This window comes from Homo sapiens, chromosome 1 (genome assembly GCF_000001405.40).
Source record: "Homo sapiens chromosome 1, GRCh38.p14 Primary Assembly".
Taxonomy (NCBI): domain Eukaryota; kingdom Metazoa; phylum Chordata; class Mammalia; order Primates; family Hominidae; genus Homo; species Homo sapiens.
This window is the reverse complement of record NC_000001.11, coordinates 246012566-246032653: the sequence shown is the minus strand read 5'-3', so window position 1 is coordinate 246032653 and position 20088 is coordinate 246012566. Positions and strand designations below refer to the sequence as shown.

General features: G+C 40.2%; 1 protein-coding gene across 15 annotated transcripts in view, besides 1 other annotated feature; it reads left to right on the top strand.

The window, feature by feature from the left end:
* The window catches only part of SMYD3 (SET and MYND domain containing 3), a 757933-nt gene that overhangs the window by 474626 nt on the left and 263219 nt on the right, over positions 1–20088 (top strand). The window contains exon 1 of one of the 15 annotated variants that reach the window (XM_011544259.4): positions 8273–8428. The exons of the other annotated variants lie outside the window; for them this stretch is intronic. The gene's annotated coding sequence lies outside the window, so the exon portion shown is untranslated. Of the gene's footprint in view, positions 1–8272; positions 8429–20088 lie in introns of those variants that run through there. 15 annotated transcript variants of the gene reach the window in all.
* Positions 12006–12195: an enhancer, noted in NCBI's record as "active region_2852". NCBI's record gives its function as "activates an Ori minimal core promoter by ATAC-STARR-seq in GM12878 lymphoblastoid cells {active_cell/tissue: GM12878}" and the evidence as "EXISTENCE:reporter gene assay evidence [ECO:0000049][PMID:35858748]".

The following is a 20088-nucleotide window of genomic DNA, read 5'->3' as shown; positions in this document are numbered from 1 at the left end:
TGAGTACAGAAGACACCAAAGTTCATGGTAGAAATTATCAAATTAGGATTCCTAGCATTTGAATGCGAGGGAATGGAGCTTTATGATCCCATCTTTGGTGAGAGGTTGTTGCTCAGTGAATCAAGGGCAGAGCCAGGACTCGGATATGAGCTCTCCATCCCGTTCTGTCTGGCTGCCATCTGTCTCTCCTTCAGTGCTAGGGCAGGCAGCTCATGGCTGGTAATGCTCAGAAATGCAGATACTATCAATTATTGGTGTGTTAGCGGCAAATATGTGGGTAGAGGAGGGGGAGAGTGAGAGATTCCCAGGTGTTAGGTGACCTGATCATGACAGGTACTGAAACTCTGAGGCCATTTATGGTTATGAGATGCACTGTGGGGAATTGCAGCCCCTTCCTGTAATCTACAGGGTTATTTCTGGGTGACATTTTGACAGGAAGATGTCCTGTGGGAAAAGACTGCTAACTCAGTTTGCCTGCCCAACAGTTAATTATTAATACTTCATGGCTGAAAGTGGAGTAATGTTCCTTGTATGCCTTTTATGGAGTTCTTGGTATTTTGTTTATTCTTTTTTTCTGATAAAAAGGAGAAGGTTTTATTAAGCAGTTTGAGAAAATTACAGCCACAAAATTGCACGTTGCTTCGAGGGTGTAAGGGTCGTTTCAACGTAACTTTAGAGTCTCTGTAATTTATGCTGCTACAGGAAATATCCCTTCTGTCTCAGAGATTTTAAACAAAGGCAGGGTGGTTATCACTCTGCTTTCTACAGCCTAAATATTGTTTCTGAATTAAAATGGCTGATTTCAATTTAGTCTCTGCAGACTACAATAAAGCTAGAATGAAACCAACCTAATTTTATCTTCATAGCAGTAAAACCCTTTGAAATCAGCTTCTTCACTAACTTTTTTTTTTTTTTTCGAGACAAAGTCTCGCTCTGTCGCCCAGGCTGGAGTGCAGTGGCGCGATCTCTGCTCACTGCATCCTCCGCCTCCCTGGTTCAAGCGATTCTCCTGCCTCAGCCTCCCGAGTAGCTGGGACTACAGGCGCCCGCCACCACGCCTGGCTAATTTTTTATATTTTTAGTAGAGATGGGGTTTCACCACGTTAGCCAGGATGGTTTTGATCTCCTGACTTCGTGATCTGCCTGCCTCGGCCTCCCAGAGTGCTGGGATTATAGCCGTGAGCCACTGCGCCTGGCCCCATAACTTCTTTTTAATCTGAAATAATTTTTATTTCCAGGGATCAATGTTATTTCTATTGTAATAATGGATTTTGCCAGTTAATACTTCATTTGGTTTCTGACCTTGATATTTAATATATATTTAATACCTAAATAAGATTCCAGAAGTTGGTCTGAATAAACCCATAATCCTTCTTTGCTTGACAACTAGTTTGCTACCAAGATCATTTAGTATGATTTATTATAATGATTATCGTATCAATGGTCCTTTCTTTATGTGATTTCCTATGAAAACCCTGTATAATAGTGTCATAAAACATTGCTAGAAACATACAGATAAAAGGTCTAGTCTATAGCCCTCACTTTATGTATAAGCAAGTTCCTTACCTGGCAGGTGATTCCATACTAAGTTTGTCTGGGAATAAGAAGCTTGTAATACATCAGTGATTTTTTCAAACAGTGTTTTGGGGAAGCAGCCCTGTCCTCTCCCTACAAGCACAGGCATGCTTGTGCACCCCCACTAAACACGTCCACATGCCTTGCCTTGATTTCATGAGATCACTGTTACTGGGGGATTCTATTTTGGGATTTACGTAACATTGTTTGATGTAAGCGTTCCACTGCAAAAAAAAGTTTGAAAACTGTAGTCAAGAGGCTTAATAAGGCTTTTTAGGGCTCTGACATCAATGATACATAGTAAATAACGTAATTTGTGTGCGGGTTTGTATTTATGATCTATGTGACAGGTGTGGCGATGGTGCAACTCCTTTTTTCCTTTTTAGTTGACACATAATAATTGTACACATTTATGGGATACAGAGTGATATTTTCATATGTGTATATAATATGTAATGATCAAATCAGAGTGATCACTATACCATCACCTCAAATATTTATTTGTGTTGTGAACATTAAAAAATACTCTCCTCTAACTTTTTGAAAAATATAATACAGTTGAGCATATTCAGCGTACAATGCTGCAGAACACGCAAACTCCATCCTCTCTATGTAACTGTAATTTTGTATCCATCAAACAACCTCCCTCCCATTCTTCCATTTCCCAGCCTCCAATACCCACAAGTTCTACTTTGATGAGCACAAAACAACATCTTTTTTGCTCCCACATAAGAGCCAGAATATGTGATATCTGTTTTTCTGTGCTTGACATATTTCACTTAACATAATGTCCTTCGGGCTCATTCCTGTTGCTGCAAATGACAGGATTCCATTCTTTTCTATGGCTGAATAGTACTCCATCATGTCTGTATCTATGTTTTCTTTATCCATTAATGCTTCATGCGTGAAAGTAGAGTGGTGTTACTTGTATGTCTTTTATGGAGTTAAATATCCACTGATGGATATTTAGGTTGATTCAGTATCTTAGCTATTGTGAATAGTGCTGCAATACGCATTGGGGGTGTGCGTATCCCTTTGATTTCCTTTCTTTTGTAAAAAAAAAAAAAAAAAAGAAAGAAAGAAAGGAAACCCAGTGCTGGGATTGCTGGATCCTATGGTAGTTCTCTTTTAGTTTTTTTGTGGAAATGCTGTGCTCTTTTCTACAGTGGCTGTACCTATTTGCATTCCCACCAACAGTGTGTGAGTTCCCTTTTCTCTGCATTTTCACCAGCATGTTATCTTTTCTTTTTTTGATAACAGCCATCCTAACTGTGGTAAGATGATATTTCATTGTGGTTTTGATTCGTATTTCCCTGGTGATTAGTGATGTTGAACATTTTTTCATATATTTGCTGGCCATTTGCATATTTTCTTTTTCTTTTTCTTTCTTTTTTTTTTTTTTTTTCTGAGACAGAGTCTCACTCTGTCAGCCAGGCTGGAGTGCAGTGGTAGGATCTTGGCTCACTGCAACCTCTGTCTCCCGGGCTCAAGCAATTCTCCTGCTTCAGCCTCCTGGGTAGCTGGGATTACAGGCGTGTGTCACCACGCCTGGCTAATTTTTTGTATTTTTAGTAGAGATGGGGTTTCACCATTTTGGCCAGGCTGGTCTGAACTCCTGACCTCAGGTGATCTGCCCGCCTCTGTCTCCCAAGGTGCTGGGATTACAGGCATGAGCCACCGTGCCTGGCCTGCATATTTTCTTTTGAGACATTTCTATTCATATCATTTGCCCACTTTTTAACTGGATTATATTTTGGATATTAATTCCTTGCTGAACATGTAATTTGCAAATATTTATTGCTACAGATTGTCTCTTCAGTCTCTTGATTGTTTTCTTTGCTGTACAGAAACCTTTTAGTTTAATATAGTGCCATTTGTCTATTTTTGTTGGCTGTACTTTTGAGGTCTTAGCCATAAAATATTTGCCTAGACCAATGTCCTGAAGTGTTTTCTTCTAGTAGTTTTATAGTTTTGGGTCCTATGTTCAAATCTTTAATTCATTTTGAGTTTACTTTTGTATACAGTGATAATGGTCTCCTTTCACTCTTCTGCTTTGGATATGGAATCTTCCCAACACCATTTATTGAACAGGGTGTCTTTTCCTCAGTCTGTTTTCTTGACACATTTTACAATTGGTTGGCTGTAAATATGTGAATTTATCTCTAGGTTCTCTATTCTATGCTAATGGTTTGTGTGTTTGTTTTTATACCAGTACCATATGGTTTTGGTTCCTATAGCTTTGTAGCATATTTTGAAGTCAGGTAGTGTGATACTTCCTGTTTTGTTATTTTTGCTCATTATTGCTTTGGCTATTCATGGTCTTTTGTGTTTCCATACAAATTTTAGGATTTAAAAAAATATTTCTGTGAAACATGTGGTTTGGTATTTTGACAGGTATTACATTACATCTGTAGATTGCTTTGGGTAGCATGGTCATCTTAACAATATTAATTCTTCCAATTTATAAGCATGGGACATCTCCATTTGTTTGTATTCTCTTCAGTTTCTACCATCAGTGTTTCATAGTTGTCCTTCTAGAGTTCTCTCTCCTCCTTCAATAAATTTATTGTTAGATACTTTATTTATGTTTTTGTAGCTGTTGTAAGTGGAATTGCTTTTCTAATTTCTTTTTTCACTACTTCGTTATTGATGTATAGTTTTGTATATTGATTTTGTATCTTGCAACTTTACTGAATTCATTTATCAGTTCAAAGAGTTTTTTGGTGGAGTCTTTAGATTTTTCTGTATATAGGATTATGTCATTCACAAAGAGGGACAATTTGACTTCCTTTTTTCCAATTTGGATGCCCTTTGTTTCTTTCTCTTGCCTGGTTGCTCTGACTAGGACTTCCACTACTCATTATTGATTTTTTCAGGTTTTCTCCTTCTTCCTAATTCAATTTTGGTAGGTTGTGTATGTCTAGGATTTATTTCCTTTAGGTTTTTCAGTTTGTCAGCATTGTCAAGATTGTTGTTCGTAACAGTCTCTAATGATCCTTTGTATTTCTGTGGTATCAGTTGTAATGCCTTGTTTTTCATTTCTGATTACTTTCTTCACTGAAGATTTGACCCCCTCAAAGTCATCCATGAGGATTGGAATCAACCTTCCAAACTCTTGTTAATGTTGATATTTTGATCTCCTTCTATGAAGTATGAGTGTTCCTAATGGTGTCTGGAATAGTGAATCCTTTCCAGAAGGTTTTCAATTTACTGTCCCCAGATCCATCAGAAGAATCAATATTGATGGCAGCTATAGCCTTACAAAATGTATTTCTTAAATAATAAGACTTGAAAGTTGAATTACTCCTTGATCCATGGGCTGAAGACTAGATTTTGTGTTAGTAGGCAAGAAAACAGCATTCGTCTTCTTGTACATCTCCATCGGAGCTCTTGGATGACTAGGTGCGTTGTCAATCAACAGTAATGTTTTCAAAGCAATCTTATTCCTGAGCAGTAGGTCACAAGAATGGACTTCAGATATTCAGTAAACTATGCTTAAAAACAGATATGCTGTCACCCAGGCTTTGTTATTACATTGGTAGAACATGGGCAGTACAGATTTACCACAGTTCTTAAGGGCTGTAGGATTTTTTAAATGGTAAATGAACATTTGCTTCAACTTAAAGTCACCAGCTGGCATTAGACCCTAACAAGAGAGTCATTCTGTCTTTTGAAGTTTTGAAGCAAAGCATTGACCTCTCCTCTAGTTATGGAAGTCTTAGATGGTATCTCATCCCAATATAAGGCGGTTTCATCTACACTGAAAGTCTGCTTTTCCTTGTTGCCACCCTCATCAGTCATCTCAGCTAGATCTTCTTGATAACTTGCTGCAACGTCACCTTGCAGTTTTAAGTTACGGAGATGGCTTCTTTCCTTAAACCTCATGAACCAACCTCTGCTACTTTCCACCGTTTCTTCTGTCGTTTCTCACCTCTCTCAGCCTTTATAGAATTTAAGCAAGTTAGGGCTTTCCTCTGGATTAGGCTTTGGCTTAAGGGAATATTGTGGCTTATTTGATCTTCTGTCCAGATCACTCAGACTTTCTCCCTATCAGCAATAAGGCTGTCTCACTTTCTGATTATTTGTGTGTTCACTGGAGTAGCACTTTTAATTTCCCTCAAGAGTGTTTCTTTTGCATTTACAAGTTGGCTAACTGTTTTGTGCAACACATGTGTCTTTCAGTTTATCTTAGTTCTCGACATGTCTTCCTCACTGAGCTTCATCATTTCTAGCTCTTGAATCACAGCGAGAGATGTGCAACTCCTCCTTTCACGTGAACACTTAGAGGCCATTGTAAGGTTACTAACTGGGCTAATTTCAGTATTATTGTGTCTCAGGGATATGGAGGCCTGAGGAGAGGGAGAGAGACAGGAATGAAGTTGGTGAAGCTGTCAGAATGCACACATTCATGGATTAAGTTAACTGTCTCATATGGGCACTGTTCATGGTGCCCCAAAACAATTACAGTAGTAATGTCAAAGAACACTGATAAGCATCACAGATAGAACAGTGAAAAAGTTTGAATTATTGTGAGAATTACCAAAATGTGACAACAGACACATGAAGTGCACACATGCTATTGGACAAATGGTGCTAATAGACTTGTTCAACAAAGGATTCACAAACCTTCTATCTAGTAAACACAAGATCCATGAAGCACAGCAGAGTGAAGCTCAGTACACGCAATGAGGTGTACTTATAATTTTGTTTAGTGGAGTGCGTCTTTCAAGGGTATGTGATTAAACTCTGTATATCCTATAGATGCAGGTAATTACTTAGAAGTCACTGATATAAATGAGTATTTGATCTAAGACTTCTTTATGCTCTCTTCTGCAAGACCTAGGGAAGGTCAAAAGAAGGACTGTTTTTGAAGAAAGAGAAACTTTTTTTCTGGTATGGGTTTTCATTTTCTTTTCTTTTTTTTGGCGGGTGGGGGATGAAGTCTCACTCACTCTGTCACATGGGCTGGAGTGCAGTGGCACGATCTTGGCTCACTGCAATCTCTGCCTTCACTGCAACCTACCTCCTGGGTTCAAGCGATTCTCTTGCCTCAGCCTCCCAAGTAGCTGGGACTTCCCACCAGCACGTGTGTCTAATTTTTGTATTTTTAGTAGAGACAGTGTTTTACCATATTGGCCAGGCTGGTCTTAAACTCCTGGCCTCAGGTAATCCACCTGCCTCGGCCTCCCAAATTGCTGGGATTACAGGCATGAGCCACTGTGCTGGGCCAGGTTTTTCTTTAGAACACTTGGGACTCTCACATATAGCACCTTAGGTCACTGAAAATTCTGTTGCTTCCTCTCAGTAACATCACTGAATCTATACCTCTATTGAGCTTAATCATACATCACTCAGATGACAAAGGGAGAGATCATGCTCACTTCCTTCATCAAGAGGGTACATTGCTAAGCTTATGGCTGGAGTCTCTGTCTTTGCAAAGACACCAAGTCCTGGAAATTTCTGTCTGTGCTTTCTTTGTGGTTGGTGTGGGCTAGCCTAGTGTATAGGACGCAGCTTTTTCTGAGGTATGAGTGTTTTGACCTTACATAATTCTCTTCATGATTCAATTAATGAATTCCAGAAAATGACCGTCACAGTACTGGTACCTCTTTTCGGTTTTTAGAGGGATGTGAGACGTCTTTGTGTTTGGGACACATTTGGGTGGAGGGTACAGCTCCCTTTCTGATGGCCACTGTCATATTCAGGGCAATCTGTTTCTTTTCTTCTGAATTAGATTTGCTGTATCTTCCTTCCTAGATGCTGTCCACTTGCTGTATCTCCCTTCCTAGATGCTGTCCACTTGCTGTATCTCCCTTCCTAGATGCTGTCCACTTGCTGTATCTCCCTTCCTAGATGCTGTTCACTTGCTGTATCTGTCTTCCTAGATGCTGTCTACTTCCTGTATCTCCTTCCTAGATGCTGTCCACTTGCTGTATCTCCCTTCCTAGATGCTGTCCACTTCCTGTATCTCCTTCCTAGATGCTGTCCACTTCCTGTATCTCCCTTCCTAGATGCTGTCCACTTGCTGTATCTCTCTTCCTAGATGCTGTCCACTTGCTGTATCTGTCTTCCTAGATGCTGTCCACTTGCTGTATCTCCCTTCCTAGATGCTGTCCACTTGCTGTATCTCTCTTCCTAGATGCTGTCCACTTCCTGTATCTCCTTCCTAGATGCTGTCCACTTCCTGTATCTCCCTTCCTAGATGCTGTCCACTTGCTGTATCTCCCTTCCTAGATGCTGTCCACTTGCTGTATCTCCCTTCCTAGATGCTGTCCACTTGCTGTATCTGTCTTCCTAGATGCTGTCCACTTCCTGTATCTCCTTCCTAGATGCTGTCCACTTCCTGTATCTCCCTTCCTAGATGCTGTCCACTTGCTGTATCTCCCTTCCTAGATGCTGTCCACTTGCTGTATCTGCCTTCCTAGATGCTGTCCACTTGCTGTATCTCCCTTCCTAGATGCTGTCCACTTGCTGTATCTCTCTTCCTAGATGCTGCCCACTTCCTGTATCTCCTTCCTAGATGCTGTCCACTTCCTGGATCTCCCTTCCTAGATGCTGTCCACTTGCTGTATCTGTCTTCCTAGATGCTGTCCACTTGCTGTATCTCCCTTCCTAGATGCTGTCCACTTGCTGTATCTCTCTTCCTAGATGCTGTCCACTTCCTGTATCTCCTTCCTAGATGCTGTCCACTTCCTGTATCTCCCTTCCTAGATGCTGTCCACTTCCTGTATCTCCTTCCTAGATGCTGTCCACTTCCTGTATCTCTCTTCCTAGATGCTGTCCACCAATACATCTTTAACCTTTTGTTGTTCAGGCAGAATGAGGTTCCTCTTTTTTGGGAAAAAGATAAAATGTAAGCTATATAGTACATCTGTGACTGTATCCTGGAATATTTCTTGTTTTCTCGCTTCCATATTATATTGCAGAAAGCAGAATCTGATGGAGTATGAAAAAATATTGGACTATGATAGAAGCAACCTGATTTTCATCTCAATTTGACCTCTAGGTTACCTGGCCAGGACATTTGCTGTAAATTCAGTGATCTCTGTAGTTCCTCATTTTATCCCCTCCCACCTAACAGTGATAGTCATATAATAATTTTGAAAGAATTAACTGTCTTTATTCTTTATTTTTTTAACCAAATCATCAGTATATGCCATCCACAGAAGTCTCTCTGAAATAGTAGCTAACAACTACTAGGTGTGTACTAAGTACTGGGTGATATTTTTCAGTAACACACACACACACACACACACACACACACACACACAGTTTTGTAATAGTCCTGTGAAGTGGGTTCTGAGGTTAAATGACTCACCAAAGATACATAGCTGGAAATTGGAAATCCAGGATTTGAACTCACGCCCCTGTAGCCCCTGAACGTGCCGTCTTTTTTGTTGTATGTCCCTCTCTTTGTCTTAAAGTGGAAAGCAAGAGCTTCATTCTTCTAGTAAATATAACTCCCAAAGTGAAACAATTTATTCTGAGCATCATCCTCTACACTGTGAAAAGTACAAAACATAAGTCCTTTTTTTTTCCTTGACAATGCTAAAATAGTAATGATTTTGGAAAATGGGAAAGAACAACTCTTTTCTACTGAAAACTGTGGGGGAAATGATTCAAGCAGCTACACTTGGTCATTTTCAGACATTTAATATTCTCTGTCATATCTTTGAATTCTCTAATCTAGTAACAAGACACATTTGATTAATCTGCGAGAGCTAGCTATATTATCTCATCTCTGTTTTCTAATTGCTCGTTTTGAAGGACCACAGTTATGCACAGACAGACATTCCAACACAGCTCTCCCTCGGTGCCTTCAGCATATCATCTCTTGAGACTCTTCTCACTGATTAGCAAGAGCTTGGTTTTTAAGTAGATGCTTCTTTAATTCCCAGCACTTGTGTCTCTTAGCTGTTCTCATTCACCGTGGATACTGAAACCAGGGCAGTTACACTGTGAGTTGGAACAAAAACCTGCCTGTGTCCTAAATGGAGAGGCACACCTGATTGGGAAGTTTAGAGAATGGATTGGTAGAGAAGTTCGGTGGTATACTTTATTGATGCTTAAAAATCGTACAGTCTAACAAGTGATCTCACTCTTTCTAAATTGCATCCTATATCCTGATTTGAAAAAGGGAAATGGAAAATTCTTCACAGAATTAAAATTTAGATAAGAAAATCTAGAGTTAAGGTTGCTATTTTTGCTATTTACTGTTGTGAGGTGGTATTACCCTGGCACCATGGAAAGTGCGAAGTGAAAGCCTTCTCCTCCCAGCCACTCCTAATTTTTGAAAGGGATTTATTGTAACAATTTGGTATGTGTCCCAGAATACTTTCCATGTGTATCCACACAATATTTGCACATGCAGAGTTATATTAGTTATACCCATCTACAATTTGCTGGAAACATTTTCTTAACAATGACACAGGCCATCTTTCTACGCTGATAGATACAGCCCTATCTTTTTAAAATGTCCATATACATAATGTAGCATAATAATAATTGCTAACATTTATTGAGCTCGTATATGTCAAGTGTTTTACTAAACTCTTTATATACAGACGAGGAAACCAAGATTTACAGAGGTTATGTAAGTTGCCTCAGGTCGCACTGTTAGTGTGTGTCAAAGTCAGGATTTAAAGCAAGGCTGCGTGGCTCCAGAACCCACGTTCTTACCCCCTCGCTGTGCACTGTAGTTCTCATACTCAATCTCCTATTGATAGACATTGGCCCTCATTTTCCACCATAACAAACATTTCTGTAATGAACATCTTCGTATAGAGATGCTTGAGAGAGCATTTTTCTCTGATATGTGCATTTTAATGTTTGAGAACCAACCTGGTTTTTGAAAACAATTTTTGCCCATATTGACTTGTGCAAAGAGGTGATGGCCTCTCTGTAGAGGGACTGATGTCTTAAGTACAGCAATGCATTTGCTTCATAATGATCATGAATTTGCGTTCTCTCGTCATTTGATTTAGACTTTCATTTGTTTAACGAAGGACCACAGTCTGTGGCTGTGTTCAGCAGTGCTCACTCTTAGTTGCTGTGGATGTTCATGTTTCCAGCGATCAGTGTCCCTCTTAACCTAGGAGAGGAAACGCTGATTATGTCACAGTTTGAAGTGCTGTGCCCCTACCAGTCAAACCTTCCAAGAGGTCACAGACAGAATGTCGAAGCAACACAGAACCCACGAAGTGAGCTGCTGATATCCTATGCTCAATATCACATTGAAATGCACAGTTTCATTTTTCCATCTTTCCATTTTCCATTTGAATGGGTTTTGATTTGCTGAAAAATGAATAAAAATATACAAACAAAAAACTTGCTATGTAAAATTTTTGCCTGTATTGCTGAGAAAGCAATAGAATTGAATTGAGATAGCTTTTCATCAATGGAGTGATAATTAATCAGGGTGTAGGGAGGCTGATCAATAATATAATGATGAATAAGTAAATGTTCTGCCTTCCAAGAAGCATTTCCTGGACCTCTTTCTTTCCACAAATCTGCATGACCAATCTTTATGCTAGACTGGGTGGCTAGTTGGCCAGGCAGGTATTTTTGTGGTTGTACGAACTCAAGTCTGTGGACGTTAGTCCTTCTCTGAGGCCACTTCCTCACCTCCCATTACTTAACTACAGACAATTCTGTGTCAGGGGCTCTGTGGCGCAGTGTGGGTGATCAGGAATCAGAATATACCATCTGTACCACAGGAAGATTAACTCTAAGTCTTTCTTCAGGCTAGAGCTATATTTTGTACTCAAACAAAAAGACATAGTAGAATTCTGTACCCATGTCAGAAGGCTTCAAAGCTCCTCTGTCTTCCTTGAACTTTGCTGTTTGGTGACAGCAAGGGCAGTAGAAGTGGAACTCCTGACCTTCACCCGAGGTGAAGAAAGGAACTTCTATCAGAGACTGAGAGATACACTTCATACTTTCCTTCTCTCTGTTAAATTGGTGACTGCCTTGTGATTGTCACATGTTTCTGGTATTGGCGTTGAGAATCATTCACCGTTACCTTTACAAAGCAATGATATTCTCTTTAGTTTTTATGTTTACAATCAAATTTGCTGTTTACTTAGACAAACCTATACACGTTTGTTCTGGGAGCTGTATGAACAGGTACATGCTCATGCAGGTAGGCCTTAAGAAGAGGGAGATGTAGGTTTGATGCTATAATGAATGATGAGTTTCAGATTCAGTCACGTTAAAAGTTGAGAGGGTGGGAATCAGAGAGCCAGAAAAGTGGTTAAGACCATGAGTTTACAGTCAGGCTTTCTGACTTCAATTCTGCTTCTAACCTAGAAAAACCTATTCACACTCCTGGGCTTCAGTTTTCTTATCTATAAAATGCGACTGATTATTATGATGAGTATCTACTTTGTAGCTTATCATAGAATGATGTGAGTTTACACCGATAGAGCATTTAGAATACTATCTGACATATAGCGCTCAGTTCAATAAGTGTTAGCTACTGTTATTATTGTTATGATTTCATCATAATTATTATTTTGCTATTCTAACAGCCTCCTTTCTTGTAATGAGTCAGGACCAAAACTAAAGCATTTGAAATGGAGAGGTTAAAGTTTCGAATACCAAGTTAGGTTTAGTGTTTGTTGGAAAGGAAACAGAATTTACAGACTTTGTAGGCTTTTGAAACCTAAGAAGCCAAGAAGAATTCTCTTCATTATGTAATTTCCCATAGCTCATTAGGAAATCAAGACCACAAGAAGCCTCCCCAATGTGTTTAGTAATTTCTCGTTGAAAATCACAGGTCTTGAGAACACTGTTTTATTTATGGTACTTTTTAAAAGGTATTGTGCTGAAGAAAAGGAAATCAGTATAGATTTTGCTTGCCTGTTAGCCTCTAGATAAGTCTTATTGCAGTCAGCAGTCTGCTGTGTTCTTGTGCAATGGTGGCAGAAATAGATGTCAAATCCGTCAGTAGGACAGGATTACGTTCAGACGGACCCCATAAGACACTGCTTTGATTGGGTAGAGGAGGCTGTGAAATCCCTTGGTTCTGAGAATTGAATACTTGTGAAGATGATAGTAAACTCTTCTGGCAGGCAAGTAACAAGTCTATAACCAAGAAGATATATATTGTGTTTGTGAAGAGAAAAATCTCCTTTCTTTCTAATATATCTTACATATCTTGTTAAATTGCTTCATGCCATGCTGCTATATATGTATTTTCTTTCAAAGGCCTGAGTTCCAAGAAAGCAACAATTTTATTTGTAATACTGTTCTTTATTTTTAAAACTATGTATTTTATATATGTACATTTATATATATGTATGTATATATTTACATTTAGTACCTTGGTACTGGCCTTATAGGATTTGAAAAAATTAAATTAATAATTACATTTTTCTTTCATTGGCATTTAAGATAGCACAGATGGACCTAGGTAATCTAGATATGAATTCTTGACCACATGACAAACACAGATTTAAAACTTTATGAATTAGGTGAGTCCCTTTATGTCAAGAACACAGCTACGATCATCTTTTGTGGAAATAACAAAGATAGGGTTTTTTTGGTTGGTCTTTTTGACAATGCTTTTGGATTCTATAAGGTTCTATGACCAGTATTTGTAACTCAGACCTAGGATTTAGAAAAAGTCATTGCCTACATGAAAAATATTCCTCTTTTAGCCTTTCTTTTCTAATGTCTTGTTTTGGAAGAAATCAAAAGAATAGCTGTAAAGCGTTTGAGAGACTCCAGAGCAGCGTTTGACACTAGTGACATTTTGGGCTGGATAACCTTTGGTCGTGGGGGCTGTCTTGTGCATTGTAGGGTGTGTAGCAGTATCCTAGGCCTTTGCCACTAGATGCTAATCATACTTTCCTACCCAGTCTTCAGACTCAGAAATGTCTCCAAACATTGCCAGACTTCCAGGGGGAGGAGCAAAATCAGCCCTGATTGAGAATCACTGGAGTGGAGAGTAATGGAGAAGTTCAGAAATGCAAAAAGCTCAGAGAAAAATGGGGCTCAGAGGAAATAGAAAAGTAGCAAGGGGTTCAGGCTTTCTAAATCAACAAAATACAATTTTCTATTAAAAAAAATAAGTCAAGAACCAAATAAGATATCAAGAAATTATCTGCAACATTTAAGCCAAAGCATTGATACCTTTAACACACATACAGCGTAAACTAATCAAGAAGAAATCTGCTGGGCATGGTGGCTCATGCCTGTAATCTCAGTGCTTTGGGAGGCCAAGGCAGGAGGATTGCTTGAGCACAGGAGTTTGAGACCAGTCTGGGAAAAATAGCAAAATCCATCTCTACAGGAAAAAAAAAAAAAAGCCAGCATGGTGGTGCACACCTGTGGTCCTAGCTACTTGGGAGGCTGTGGCAGGAAGATTGCATGAGCCCCGGAATTTGAAGCTGCAGTGAGCTGTGATTTTTGCCACTGTACTCCAGCCTAAATGACAGAGCAAGACCCCATCTGTAAACAAAGAAAAAAAGTTTAAAATCAATGAGGTGTGTATAGGTAAATAGACAAAGCACGTGAAGCACAATTTTTACAGAAATATGATGGCAAACATTTAAAATATTCAGACTCATCTATGAAATTGATAATGTCTTGTTCTTACTGTTTCTCTAAAGCTCAGTTCAAAAGTCATGAGATGAGGCAGAGCAAGTTGAGTGCCTTGACTGTGGAGCGTGGGGTCCTGGGAGAGAGGGAAGCCACTTTGGCTCAAAGCTGAGTGTCTGAACTCAGGGGAGTGAGAGCATTCACGTGGAAACCTGGCAGCCGGGCAGGAGAGGGCAACAGAGACACGGCTGGTTGTTTTGGAAAGGGAAGGAACTGGAATAAAACTCTGTTCATTAGAGAGACTGGTGTGAACTCTTGGTATTCCACAGAGAGAAAGAGCTGTGTAGAAATAAACATAGATGCAGATCTTTGTGTCTGTGTGTTCCACATACGTATATTTCCCGGCTGTGTCCACTGAGAGGACCTGGGAACTGTAACACCTAGTGCACACCTAGTCTGGGACTTTGGCTTCTAAATACTGTTCGCTACTTAAAGGTGCTCTTTGGAAGAATGGCTGATTCCAGGGCTGGGACAGAGAAGTAGAAGATGAGCCTGGGATGTCTTCTTGTTTCATAAAGTAAGGAAATGTCCAAAGATGAGGATATAGCAGAAGGACATAGGAGTCAGCTTGAAGAGGCTCCTGCTAGCCAAATCTGTGGCAATTTCAGCATCAAAATAACGGTAGTAATAGGTTATAACTCACTGAATAAAATAGGAATTTGTGAGTTCAGTGCTTAAAGTCCTAAGTTTGCTGAGGAATGTCATATATGCATTCTCTCAGAGTAACTCTCCCCACTCCCAAATTCTTAGGAATTCAAAGAGAAAATGAGAAACTTCACAGTGGAGAAGTCTGACAGATAACACTTTAACCTAGTGATCAAAATTAATAACATCAGTAATAAGACTGATTGAAGTTATGTACCACGTGATAGGATATGAGAACTCAGCATCATGACTGTGATGCTCCTGCCAAAGATGCAGAACCTCAATCTATTCGTGAAGAAACATCAAGCAACCCCAAACTGAGACGCATTATACAACAAAATAACTGGCCTCTAGTCTTCAAAAGTGTCAAGCTCATGAAAGTCAAGCAAACAGAAGCCTTGATTCTGAACTGGAACCTTTTGCTGTGAAAAGGATCATGGTGGAATGATTGGTGAACCTAGGATTGGATGGTAGTAATGTATCAATGTTAACTTCCTGGTTTTCATAGGTGTAGGACAATGTCATTGTGCATAAGAAATACACAATTTGGAGGTGATGGGCCATTGTGTTGGCAACTAACTTTCAAATAGCTAAGAAAAAATAAGTTATACTATTCTATTCTTGCACTGTTCTCTAAGTTTAAGATTCTTTCAAAATAAAAAAAAAGAATAAAAATTAATGGTGGCAGTGCTGATGGCCTCATACCTTGCTGATACTTTTGGCAACAGTATGTATCAGAAGCCCTAAAAATGTTCATGTTCTGACATTTGTTATTCTGTCCTCAGGGAACAAAAAACTTTGGAAAGACACTTGTATTATGGTATTAAGCAGAACAGTTTCATTGATAACTGTAAATGCAGTGGGTTTTTAACTAGGTACAAAAAAAAAATCATAGAAAAAGATTGGAAGCCCCTTCTCCCATCATTCTTAGCATTAGACCGACAAGGCAGGATGCTTCTGAATGGCCACACATTGGCTGAACTGTTTTTCCATTATTTCTTTCCAATGTCTATTTTATTCTCGGTAACATAATTCCAGCTTCCTTGTTTTCTTTTTCTTTGACCTTAGTTAGCTCGCTGTGCTCCCTCATTCTGCCCTCATCTCAGCCCCTCCTGGCCCCTCTTCCACAGTGCTTCTGCCTGCCTTTGTCCTACTGAGAGCAAGATTTCTTGTGTTTGCTGTGTTGAAAGATTTTTCACAGGTAATGCTGTTGTTCTGTTTCTTTTTCTTTTTTTTTCTTCTTTTTTGAGACTGAATTTTGCTATTGTCACCCAGGCTGGAGAGCAGTGGCATGATCTCGGCTCACTGCAACCTCCACCTCCTGGGTTCAAGCAATTCTCCTGCCTCAGCCTCCCGAGTAGCTGGGATTACAGGCACATGCCACCACGCCTGGCTAATTTTTGTATTTTTAGTAGAGACTGGGTTTCACCACGTTGACCAAGCTGGTCCTGAACTCCTGACCTCAGGTGATCCACCTGCCTCGGCCTCCCAAAATGTTGGGATTACAGGCATGAGCCACCGCGCCCAGCCAGTTCTGTTTCTTTAGCATGATGTTTCCTTTCCCTTTTACTATTCTATTTTTTTTTTTTTTTTAAGTGATGGGGTTTCACTGTGTGGCCCAGGCTGGCCTTGAACTCCTGGGCTCAAGCAATCCTCCCACCTCCGCCTCCCAAGTAGCTGGGACTACAGGCGTGAGCCAGAGTGCCTGGCTGATACTTATTTTTTTATAGACCTCATGTCAATGCTTTTCTGTCCGCCACTGACGGGATCAGCCTAGCCATGACCAGCTCAGCACTCCAGCATTCCAGTTAGCAAGAATGACTGCTTAGGCCTCGATCTCACATTTCAAAATGCTCTCTACTTCCTTAGAACATTAGAAATAAAATTATTATATGATCCAGCAGTTCTCTTTCTAGGTATACACCCCCCAAAATTGGAATCCAGCAGGTACTCGAACAGATATTTGTACACATTTGGTGAGAGCAACCCACGTGTCTATCAACAGATGTATGGATCTACAAAATGTGTGCCACATATAAAATGGAATTCAGCCTTAGAAAGGAAACTTTGACACATGCTATAACATGGGTGAACCTTGAAGACATGCTAAGTGAAATAAGGTAGTTACAAAAGGGCAAATATTGCATGATTTCACCTCTGTGAGGCACCTCATGTTTGAAATTCATAGAGACGGAATGGCGGGTACCAGGATCTGAGGGGAGAGGGTCGGGAATGGAGCGTTATTGTTAATGGGCACAGAGTTTCAGGTTTAGAAGATGAAGAAAGTTCTGGAGATGGATGGTCGTGATGGTTGTGCAACAATATAAATGTACTTTGTAGCCCCTGAAGTGAATACTTAAAATGTTAAATTTTACATTATATATATTTAACCTCAGTTAAACATTTTTTAAAATGCCATACAGTTGTTAGATGGTAGAACATTCAGTGATTAATGCTGAACTTAAAGGAAACTTTCCTGAGATTGTTGGATAGGGGAACTTCTGTTATCTTTAGCTTATAGGACTGTGGCTAGTGGAGTGGCCAAGGGAAAATGTCCCCTTTTTCCTCTGAAGTTTTGCTGAAAATCAGCTGCTAAAGGCATAAAAAAGCATACACGTTTGTTAATGTGCATGAGGGAGAGTCACAGTGATGACCTACCACGCCCTGGGGGACAGATGTATACACCCTTCTTCTTAGGGGAAAGGGAGATGGGGAAGTGTGGATGATTTTAACGGGGTAGGAACTGATTTTTAGGGAATTCAGTGGGCTTGAAGAACATACCATGGCCTGGGACCATCTGTTGGGCCCGCAAAGCAGATAGGAGTCTGTTCAGGTGTGTTGACAGATTTCAGTCTTTGTTCCTGGGATAGGAGTTCAGTTACTGAAGACGCAGGGAAAGAGCCAGAGGTGATTGTTTTCTTCTTTGGCAGGTCTGGGAGTTTGGGCAGATAAGGGAACTCCAATGAACAAGTTCATCGTCTGCTTGGGAGAGAGAGAAGATTGAGAGACAGTGGGTAAAGTGGAAGGCCAGAGAGACCTGGAGGCTTCTTCAGTTCAGGATGTCAAAGCGCTGTATTTTAGGGTATTGGTTTATGAGCCCCAACACTGGATTCTGTACCTTCCTGGGTATTTTAATAGGAAATTAAAAGAAGTTATCTACAAGTCCAAAAGTCTAAAAGTAGCTCTTATCAGACACCTACTATGAATAAATAATCCTTTAAAAATATCCACCATAGCTTTACAAAAGATCTGTTATGGTGTCATTTACCGTATTTTGGAGAACTGGAGACATTAATAATGCGGCTGTGATTAACCACGCTACTAAGTCCTAGAGTCAGGGATAAGCCCGTGACTCTTCGTTCAAAGTTCATAGTTCATGCTGTTTCATGAAACCCCACTTCCTACAGAAAGCATGAATGCAACATTATCTGACCACCAGGAAATCATATAGGCCGCACTTGACAATGTGTTGCTTAGGACAGATACTCACTTTTTTATTTGTTTGTTTGTTTGAGACAGTCTTGTTCTTCACCCAGCCTGGAGTGCAATGCCGCAATCTCGGCTCACTGCAATCTCCACCTCCTGGGCTCAAGCAATTCTCCTGCCTTAGCCTTCTGAGTAGTTGGGATTACAGGCTGCACCACCATGCCCGGCTAACTTTTGTATTTTTAGTAGAGACGGGGTTTCGCCATGTTGGCCAGGCTGGTCTCGAACACCCGACCTCATGATCCGCCCACCATGGCCTCTCAAAGTGTTGGGATTACAGGCGTGAGCCACCACGCCTGGCCGACAGATACTTGCTTTTAATGCAAAATTGCTGATGAAAGCCAAATTCCTCCAATGCCTCTGAACTCTAGGTGATGTATTTTAATTTTTTCCTCTGTATTCTCTTTTTTCTATTTATAAAACAATAAGATACTGTGTACCGTATACCAGAAAGCTTCTTGAGGGTACTTGTCCAACCCTCTCATCTCAGAAAGCAGGAATGTGGATGTTTGATGCTATGTGACAGGGACAGTACAAAAAACACACATCATCTCTTTCTAGTGCTGCTTATTATTTTCTGTGTAATTCTCCGTATATGTGCTCATTGACTTTTATACATTTTTGAGTACTTCTCCAGCTACACATGCCAGACTGTCTAATACCTGGCGTGTCCCTTTAGGCTGGTGATTTACCCATCAGTCAGTTTGATCTCATCCCTGCTGCATTGACGAGATTTTCATTGTTAAATTGCTTTAAAAAAACACCACAGATTCAAAATTAAATAAATGTAACATATCAAACCAATAACTGTTACATTATAGGCTAGAAACCACAGAGTACCTGCTGCTACATTATAAAATTATGTGGCCAGGTGCAGTGGCTCATGCCTGTAGCCCCAGCACTTTGGGAGGCCAAGGCAGGTGGATCACTTGAGGTTGGGAGTTCGAGACCAGCCTGGACAACATGGTGAAGCCCCATCCCTACTAAAAATACAAAAATTAGCTGGACATGGTGGCACGTGCCTGTAATCCCAGCTACTCGGGAGGCTGGGGCACTAGAATCTCTTGAACCCAGGAGGTGGAGGTTGCAGTGAGCCAAGATCGCAGTACTTTACTCTAGCTGGTGTGAAAGAGTGAGACTCCATCTCAAAAATAATAATAAAATAAAATAATGCATGTGAACAAAAAACTGAGCTATAGATATTGAATGAGGAATTCTTGACATGGCACTTTTCTCCTATTTAAAGCTCACACAAAAACCCTAGGAAACGTGGTCTTGTCTTCTCGGCACATGTGAGAATGGTCCTGACTTCTGTGTTTTCCTTGTGGGAATGTAAGACCTGTTTCTGTTGATTCCTTTCAAATATGGAGCATGCTCTTTTGTAGCAGAAGAGTGAAAACAGCGCCTACCAGAAATGTCAGTACAGTAGAGTGCTTTTCTTGATGTGAATTAAGATTTCTCAGAACTTCGCTTTCTCAGTCATTTGCCCAAAGTGTGCCCCAGGACCTTGTAGTGTATCCTTTCTCTTGTATGTGTGGCAGGAATGGGTGGGTGACAGACATGTATATGATAATTGAGGATCAGAACATATGTGATGGAGTCGATTTTCCTTCTGCCTTTTCCCTGCTTTGCTGTTTCCTCAAGGGAAATGATGCCTGTGCATAGACTATTGTGTGGGGAGGGGCGTGGGTATGGGGAGAGTAGCACTTGGTGAAACTGCATTTACACAAATCTCAATGTTTTCCTGCATGCATTTGCATTTACTACATAGGAACATAT